The 9,504-nt window shown below is 36.2% G+C and overlaps 2 long non-coding RNA genes across 4 annotated transcripts in view; one reads left to right on the plus strand and one right to left on the minus strand.

Annotated features, from left to right (window-relative positions):
* The window catches only part of LOC107986652 (uncharacterized), a 56,727-nt gene extending 48,479 nt beyond the window's left edge, over positions 1–8,248 (minus strand). Inside the window, exons 1-3 of one of the 2 annotated variants that reach the window (XR_001744383.2) lie at positions 8,006–8,248; positions 6,290–6,414; positions 3,676–3,795 (exon numbers count right to left, since the gene is read on the minus strand). This is a non-coding gene — a long non-coding RNA (uncharacterized LOC107986652). The remainder of the gene's footprint in view (positions 1–3,675; positions 3,796–6,289; positions 6,415–8,005) is intronic. The other variant, XR_001744384.2, reaches the window with a different exon arrangement.
* Positions 1–8,974, plus strand: part of LINC02941 (long intergenic non-protein coding RNA 2941) — a 117,403-nt gene extending 108,429 nt beyond the window's left edge. The window contains exons 3-4 of one of the 2 annotated variants that reach the window (NR_121622.1): positions 1,935–2,009; positions 8,244–8,974. This is a non-coding gene — a long non-coding RNA (long intergenic non-protein coding RNA 2941). The remainder of the gene's footprint in view (positions 1–1,934; positions 2,010–8,243) is intronic. The other variant, NR_121623.1, reaches the window with a different exon arrangement.
* The last annotated feature ends 530 nt before the right edge of the window (positions 8,975–9,504 follow it).

The raw sequence follows: 9,504 nt of genomic DNA on the forward strand, positions 1-9,504 counted from the left end.
TGTATTTGAAGATAAGGTCTTTAAAGGGGTAATTAAGTTAAAATAAGGTCTTTAGGGTGGACATTAATCCAGTATGGCTGGTGTTCGTATAAGAAACAGAAAGTTGGACACAGACATGGACAAAGACCATGTGAAGACACAGAAAGAAGATGGCTGTGTACAAGGCCAGAAGAGAGCCCTCTGAAGACACCAATCCTGCCAACATCTTAATCTTTGACTTTCATCCTCCAGAACTTCAGGGAAATAGATTTCAGTTGGTTAAGGCATCCACTCTATCCTGCTTTGTTATGGCAACCCCTAGATAACTAATTCAGTTGGAAAGCATTTTATTCAAAGGAAATTAGAAGAGAGAAGTTTCTACAGAACAGGAAACACTGATGATTCTTTTGGAAGACATGAAGAACCTCTTAGATTTCATCTGGCCCAAGTGCCCTTGCGATCAATAAGCTTCATGGGGATCCACATTTGATTTTCCTTATTTTGGAAATGAGTAGTAATTACCCAGAGTGACATGTTGAGAAAAAACTGAAAAACCACAAGGCCTTTAGGTGAGGGTGGGTGTGGGGGGAAGGGGAGAGCTCTAAATGAAGCATGTTCTATATTGATCAGTGATGTTTTCCCTGGGTGAGGGGTAGTGAGTGACCACACACATGCATGTGTTGACCCAGAGTTGTATGGTAATTTTTTAATTCAAATGTCTCTGTGTATGAATCTGTTTGTTCCTGGGTCACCTTGGAATTAGGGTTATTTCATGTATTCCCTCATTCTTTATTTGACCAAATAGAAAAGTTTAGATATAAATAAAAACTATGAGACAAATTAAAAATATATAATGTGTTGAATAGTATTTTTTTCTGAGTGAGGCAAGGAAAGCCATCCTATAGTTACTGTTTTCTAGCAGGTGAGCTCTTTCACAAGATGGTAAAGCTAGAGAAGGTTACTATGATACTTAGATAGCACAGCTACTTAAAGGGTTGATATCCGCATTTTCCAGATCTTACAGTTTTTAAATATTTAATGCATAGCAAAATATGATGGTTATTACAGTAATCATCTTTTCTGGATGCTGAGGGAGGGAAGATAGTAATATTTTTGCCTTACTTGCCTATTACCTCATATTATCTGCATTCTCAGAGGTTATAGGGTTCTTCCCCCTTGCTTTTGAAAATGTGATGCAAAGACATGGCATTCTTGTCATTTTTTTTTTCTGTTTTGATGTACTTTAGTGGCTGGAGTTAACTCTGCAATATTGAGCCCCAAATGGCTTCAACTTTGTCACTGAGGAAAGACTCTAAATCTGAAAAGATCTTTCCCATTCTGGTCTGCCTGACAGTTGCTCCTCCTCCCCTTGGGCAGGGAACCCAGAGAATCAGAAGCAGATCTTCTTGCTCTGGGGTCACTCTGTCAGCTTTGAGGCTGACCAGCAAGGGATACTCAGCTACTGTTAGAGCAATTTTTTGAGGGGAGGAAGGAAGCTGCATAACCTGATTAAGTATCAGTACATCATTTTTAAAGGGATGCTATGTTCGATTCAGAACTATGCTCCTTTCTAGGAACATGCCAATTATTGGCTAATCAATATTCTCAGTACCACCTTCCAAATCTCTACAATGTTAATGCTATTTTTAACATTGGATCTACAACAGGAGACCTATTATTCTGCTGAATATTCTGAAATTAGAGGCATAAAGATGACAGAAAAAGCAACTCAGAGATGGATCAAAAATATTATAAAATATCAGGGAGACTATTTCCATATAGTCTCTACTGATGTTATTTTTAATTTTTCAAATTTAGTTCCTTTGCTTTTGAAAACTAAGCTACCTATGTTTTGCACTTTTTAAGCATGTATTCTTTTCTATCCTGAGGTTATTAGTCACAAATTCATCTTTTACATTAATTTATCAATATGACTTTTCTTCTGTGAATTTCAGATTGGTTTGCCATGGCTCTTTGAAACAGTTACTCTTGTCCTCATTGTAGAGATGGCGATACTAAGGCAGAATATGGTAAGGTAATTTATTCATAATTTCCGAGAACTCTATACCCTGTCAACTTCAAATTACAAATCATAGTGCACGCTGGGGCATATGTTGGGCTTCCCTTTGATTAACAGGGAGGAGGTTGGGCTTGATGACCTCTGCAGGAGGCTTCCAGCTCTGTAATACTAGGATCTTAATTCTGACGAATGGTCCTGATGGTAACTAGAACCAAGCTACTCCCCCACCCTTTAGTTCAAAACTTAAGACAAATCACACACTCATGCAAAATATTTTTTCTCCCTACTAATTCATAGGGTAAAATATCAATTTCTGCTAAGCATTGTTATGTTCTGATTTAGTCATGAGTGTGAGTTGATGAAAGGACCTATCTTATTTACACTGTTGTTTGGAAATTCTACGGGGATTTTGAACTGGGGGAAGGACACAGCGGGAAGTTTGGTTCCAGCTCAGTGAATGACATGTTTGTACTGGACAATGTAGCATAGTTTCTCCTAAGCTTCCAATCTGGGCATCAGCTGACTACACTCACAAAATAAGCTGATGATATTTAGATTTTACCAAGACTAATTAAGCAAGATGCATATTTCCCAGTAGTTATCTGTGACTGAGGTGTGAATTTAATTTTTTTTAAATTAACAAAGTGATTTTGTGTAGTTTCTTTTGTTAAATTAGTTTTTATTGTCATTCCAATGCCTTGATTCTTGGTTCATAGGAAGAACAATAACCTCATTTGATTGTAATTAAATAAGGGGGAAAACATTTTACTTTTTTGTTATTATTGCTTCTGAACTCCGAAGGAAGGAAATGACATACTTTAAATAAGGACAGAAGATTCTCTGAGTGGAACTATGATAGCAGTTACTGTGTATCAGATTTTCTTGAGCATTAAAATCTTCTTTTAGAAGTATGTTTATCACCCTACAAACCTTTCTGGAGGTTTAATGTAAACTTGGAGTAGCTGGTAGAGGTGCTGGGATTTGAAAAAGGTTTCTGTTCCTTTACTATTGTCTTAGTTTCTCTTGCTCATCGGACCAAAGTTTGGAATCACGTCTCATCTTCGTGTATTTTGAAAATCTAACAAATCTAGAAGATGGTGTGAATGTGCATATATTTAGACAATTTAAAATTTTGTCAAGGACATGAAAGAAAGACATGTTTTCTAACAAAACAGAAAAAAACAAAAATAAGAACAGAATGCTTTTAACATTGCTTAAAGAACTACAGAACTATGGTGGCAAAGTGAGTATGTCATACAAGGTAGGCTATGTAAATCTATGTGTGATAATTGTGTACTATTCATTGATAGGGGATGTACTTTCTACTTAACACATGTTCTCCTCCTAGATACCTTACCTATAGGTACAGAAGTATCTATTATATTGGTTTAGGCTGATTCTAAGGGATATTTCTCTTAATGTAAGCTGAAGCAGAGAGAAACTCTATTGGCAGATGCAAGTGACTTTTTTAACACAATGAGTTACTGAAGGATGGATTCTTAAGCTATGGAATATTGCTGAAATCAAAGCTGCTATAATGCAGTTATACTTTCATAAGTCTGAATAGAAAAAAAAGTCACATCATGGAAAAGAGAACTCAATCAAATATCGGACTTCCACACTATTTATGTGTACTATGTGTACTATGTGTTCTTAATAAATATTCTCATAAATACCTGCAAAATTCGTGGGGTTTTTTTTTGCTTCCAGTATTCAGCAGTCTTGAAGATATGTGATACCTTGGTTTAGGAGCTGTAGAGCTCTGACAGAAGACCCATATTATAATTCCTGCATAACTAAGAAAAAGAAAGTGGACGATACCAATTAAAAAAAAGACTTAGAACCAGAAAGCTGACCTGAAAAGCCATACATAATGTGTTGATATTTTCAGAAATTGAAATTTATTTGAAAGTTTCTGGTATTTCACAGCAAAATATGATGGAAACTGACAAAAATGTAAAGTGAAAATTTTCCTAATGATAGCTCATTCTCCAAAAGTTTATTCTACAAAGATGAATGAAGACAAAATTTTAAATATCACAACGACCCTCTTATTTGATGTTCACTGAGAAAGGAGATATTGTTTTTTTCTCCTAAATTATCCCCAGATTGTAATAATAATGTGTATTAACATGATTAATATTATTTATTGATAATTTTAATAACTTTTAAATCCATCTTGTAGGTTTCAGTTTTTCAAAATCTTTGTTTTAAAATTAAAAGCCCAAGCCCATATGAAAAGATACAAATTTTAATAGATTTTATCTGGCATTTAAAAGGCATTGCCACAGTTTGGCTAACTTAGACAAATATGTCTATCTGGACATTGTAAGTGATTTGGTAGAAATAAAGGCATTACACATGTGGATGCAAACCCACTTGCATGGTATCACTGGTAAAACCTTTAAAGATTAGCTTGAACAGCAAAATCTTATGAGAATATGAAGCTGCCACCTTAATAGCATTCATTATTTTTATTTTTAATAAAGAAATAGCTTTATTTTGGCATAACCAGTATAGGAAATCAAGTTGAATTTGTGTCACATTGTACTGAATAGGTTAGGCATAGGACATTTAGAACCTAAGGTTTTTTAATGTAAGTCAATGTTTTACTTGAATATAAGTAATTAATCAGTATCTAATGTGGTTTTGGGGCCATAGGGTAACTTAGTTTTCATATCCTAAACAAACCTACCTTTTTAGTTGCTTTCAGTCAATAGGGAAATGCTTCAAAGAAATGACCAACAACCAAGTTCCGATGGGCAAGATCTTACCAGTTATTATAAAAAGAAGCCTCAAATGCTGTTAACTTGCATATGGACAACCAGATTTACGCCATAAAATAGGAAATACTTCTATTATTGCATATAAAACTTAAAAAAGGTTTAATTTTAAACATATAAATCATACTTAATCTAACAATATGCACATTATGTGAAAATGTCATCTAACTCTTTGCCTTTCAAGTTCGTATAATATTATAGAAAACGCAGATATTTTCTTTATCTTTCTTTTTTAAAAACAGATTCGTTACCCTGTAGGTTTCAGTTAGTTAATATTGAACAGGGATTCAGGGAAGGATTCTTTTTTAAATTATTGAAGAGATCTGAATATGTTTATAAACTGAGACCGATATCCCAGTGGAGGAATAATGAAACCAAAAACTGATGAAATCTGTTCACAGTCCTGGAGGAGATGAACAATGGAGACAGGGGAATTGGAGGTTAAAATTATATCATCTGCAAGTGGGTGAAGAAATTTGCTCTTTCAATGCTGTGAGCACATTGCTTCTCCAATATAATCCTGGACATGCCCAATTATCCTATTATTTGTGATGTTTATAGATATACATATAATTGGTGAGATGCATTTCTGAGTTTGAAATAGCTTTGAATACTGATTATTTTATTTTATTGATACCTAATATTTTATATATTTGTGGGGTACATATGAGTATTTGTTGATATATTATTATTTGTGCTTACTTTTATGCACAACTTTTCTCTTTTCACATTGGCTCCAGGAGAATTAGAAATTAGGAAGAAAACAGAGAGCAAGTTTTGGTCATTGGTTGGCTGGTGGCTGGTTTTCTTTTCTTTTGTTTTCAAACTTCCAAAGAGGATCTTGAAGCATTCATCAGAAATAATTGGAGGTGGCCGGGCGTGGTGGCTCACGCCTGTAATCCCAGCACTGTGGGAGGCTGAGGTGGGTGGATCACTTGAGGCCAGGAGTTCAAGACCAGCCTGGCCAACAAGGCAAAACCCCGTTTCCACTAAAAATACAAAAATTAGCTGGCGTAGTAGTGAGCTCGTGTAGTCCCATCTACAAGGAGGCTGAGGCAGGAGAATCACTTGAACCCGGGAGGCAGAGGTTGCAGTAAGCTGAGGTCCCACCACTGCACTCCAGCCTGGGTGACAGAGCCAGATTTTGTCTCAAAAAAAAGGAAAAAAGAAAAAAACAAAGGAAAAAAAAAAAGAAATAATAATTGGAGGTGTAGGGGAGCAATGTCTTAATTGACAGGCTGTGGAGCAGCTATTATTGCTAGAAGCAAAAACAATGAGGGAATGGAACCAATGCCTAAGACCACCTACTGGCCACCAGGTGAGCACCACAGCCCTGCTGGGGATTTGCACTGGCTCTTCTCTTCAGAGCTGAGAAGAGTTGCCCAATGGGAGCTCCTTGACTATTGCTTGTTGGTCATCTTAAAATATTGATGGCTGCTTGTGTCCCGAGATATCCTCAGCCCTGTTTGTATATTTCCCTTTCCAATGCGTACACTAGAACACTTACCACTTCCCCTGGGTTCTGAAGTGGGTTCCAAGGTGAGCCAAGATGAGCACTTGTCCTTCAAGAGATTGGAAAGCAGTGACGTCTCAGCTGTTTTACACAGTTAGACACTGGGGATCCATTCAGTGCTTTTTGGAAAGGAAACACAAACATGGCAAGACTTCATACTTAGGTAGCAAATTACAATTTCCAAAGTCTTTTTATACCTTCAATATTAAATTCAGTGTTCTAATTATGGTAAATGTTCTAATTATGGTAAACCACCAGGTTATAGCCTGAGTTTTTGAGGCTTGAAATTTATACTGTTTAGACAGCTTTTGTTAGGAAAAATAATTAAAAGATATAAATTCAAAATTAGGTTGCAACGTAACTATTTCTTTTTTTCTTTTTCTTTTTTTCCTTTTTTTTTTTTTGAGACAGAGTCTCACTCATCACCAGGCTGGAGTGCAGTGGCAAGACCTCAGCTCACTGCAACCTCCGCCTCCCAGGTTCAAGCAAGTCTCCTGCCTCAGCCTCCCAAGTAGCTGGGATTCCAGGCACCCACCACTATGCACGTCCAATTTTTGTGTGTGTGTTTTTGTATTTTTAGTGGAGACAGGGTTTCACCATGTTGGCCAGCCTGGTCTCGAACTCCCGACCTCAGGTGATCCACCCACCTCAGCCTCCCAAAGTGAGGGGATTACAGGTGTCAGCCACCACGCCCGGCCTAACTATTTCTTTAAAATGAGACATGACAACAATAAATTACAAAATTTTAAAAGCTGAGAAATTGCAAAATCAGAAAATCCAGAAAAAATCCAGAAAATAACATAATATTTGAAAGAATCAACTGCCTCAAACATGTCTGTACATTTTTTTTCTATTTTTGGCCACACATTTCTGCTCACTTCTCCATATTACACCATTTATAATATTTTCTATAGAAACAATAAAATGATATTCATTCTTGCCTCTAGCATAATCCTTTCTTTACAAAATTAACAATAAAAATAAACTAAAATAAATTTAAATACTTGACAGTTTAGAAAGTTTACTTCAGCTTCAGGCTAGTCATTGATGATGTCATTAAAAATTTCAAAATTGTTGTCATATTTAGAAGCTGTGGTCTCATAGAAAAAATATCTACAAAGTGTTTGTTGAGCACGATCCTTCTCAAATATACTTACTTTATATTCTCTGATACAGTTTTGTGCCCAAGAAGCACACATTTCTGGTAAATTTCATTGTGTGTAAGTCTCATACAAATTACATGGCAAATTGATAATTTGTATATTTTTAATAACTTCCATTTTGATCAATCATTGATAATAACCTATCTTTCACTTAGAATTTTACACAGCTAATTCTGGGAAGAATTTTCCTCATGTTTTTTTCTGGCCCTGTACATTTCAGTATTGTTTTTCATCCAATGTTCACACACTTTGGGTGCCAGTCATCATGGGACAGATTCATTTTGCTGTAGCATTTCTGGCCTTGTACATTGGTGTCATGATGCCAGGACAGTCAGCACAATGGGAGGCATGACTATTGCTGTAGCCCAGTCCCACATATGGAGAGAAGGCGACAACATAATAACCATATATTAAAGTGACTACAAACCACATCAATACATTCTAATGAAATCAAGCTAAATTATCCTATACCAGTTATCTACAGCTATGCAAGAAAAAAAAGTCCCATATTATGGTGGTTTAAAACAGTAAACATTTTATTGCTTACAGTTTTGTTGGTTGGATATTTGGGGCTCAGTGGGGATGGCTTGTCTCTACTCCATGTGATGTCAGCTGGGGTGACTTGATTAGGGCTAAGAGATCAAAGATTGCTTCATTCTCAATAAATGGAGCTTTGCTGTTACTGTCAAACTGGGGCAATGTGGTTCTCTTCCATGTGGCTTCACTCTCCATATGGTAGTTCATTCACTATGATCTTTCTCTCCACATGTTCTCTGTCTCCGCAGGCTAGCCTGGACTTCTTTTTGTGGAGACTGGATTCCAAGATTGAAAGTAGAAGCTACATGTTTTCTCCAAGCAGGGCTTTCAGACTTCACTTCTGCAACATTTTATTGATGAAAGCAAGTCACAAGACCAGACTGATTCAAGGGGTGGAGAAATAGACCCTACTTCTTGATGGAGGGAGGAGTAGAGTTACATTGCAAAGGGATCTGGACAAAAAAAGGAGTGATTTATTAGGAATCATGTTTAACAATTTACCACAATCCCCAGCGCAACTGCCTGTTAGCTGGATCCAGAAATGTCTACGACTACTGCAATGCCACTTGGCCTTAGGGGTGATGTGACCCAGTGTAAAGAGATGGTGGTCTTAACCAATCACAGTTAAGATAGTTTAGTTTTGGAAGGTATAAAAAATATGTAACAACATGAATGCACTTTTAGGGTCAGACAAGAGACTTGGAAAGAGCCTGCAAAATGGAGGAGCCCTGAGGCCTAAGTCTCATGAGTGTCAATGCTTACCTGTATCTAGACACTGGCATCCCCCTTTTGATAAGGCCAAGATTGATTGTTTTCCTTTTCTACCTACCCTATATCTAATCCATGTACAAACACTGTTGACACACAAAAGAACCCTAAATTCAACAATCTGTGAAGAATTTTTGCACTAACATGTTAGTTCAAAAACTCAACATTGCTTGCTAAGACTATTGCAATAAACTCCTCTATGATCCCCTAATTTGATTCTTGCTCCTCTTATTTTTTACACAGTCATCAGAGTAAATCTTTTCAAAGGTAAATTGGATTTTATGACTTTTCTGCTTCTAATTAGTTTCATCTATACATTAAAATATATTTCCAAACTATTCTACACTGGTCTGTCACTGGCCACCTCCAGAATGTGATTTTCAACCATTTTCTCTATTTTGCTCTCTATATCCCTTTCTCTCTGCTCTATTTTTATTATTTTTAACCACTGCTAGAATATAAGATCCAACTTAAGAAGAGAGATTTTTGTCTATCAGCTTATTCCCTGGGCTTAGCCTAGCACAAGGTAGTGGCACAATAAGCATTTATTAAATAACTAGATATTATATAATTAAAATTTAGCAACAAATTCTATAAGATATATATTATCATTCAATTTGAGTGAAGAAGTTCTGATGAAATAATCAAAATCACTTTAAGCATACGAAAGAGTTAAGGCCCAGACATTATTCTACTGCTGTCTCTACTAAACACATGCTTATTTCTAAACACAGGCTTATT

This window comes from Homo sapiens, chromosome 6 (assembly GCF_000001405.40).
Source record: "Homo sapiens chromosome 6, GRCh38.p14 Primary Assembly".
Classification (NCBI taxonomy): Eukaryota; Metazoa; Chordata; class Mammalia; order Primates; family Hominidae; genus Homo; species Homo sapiens.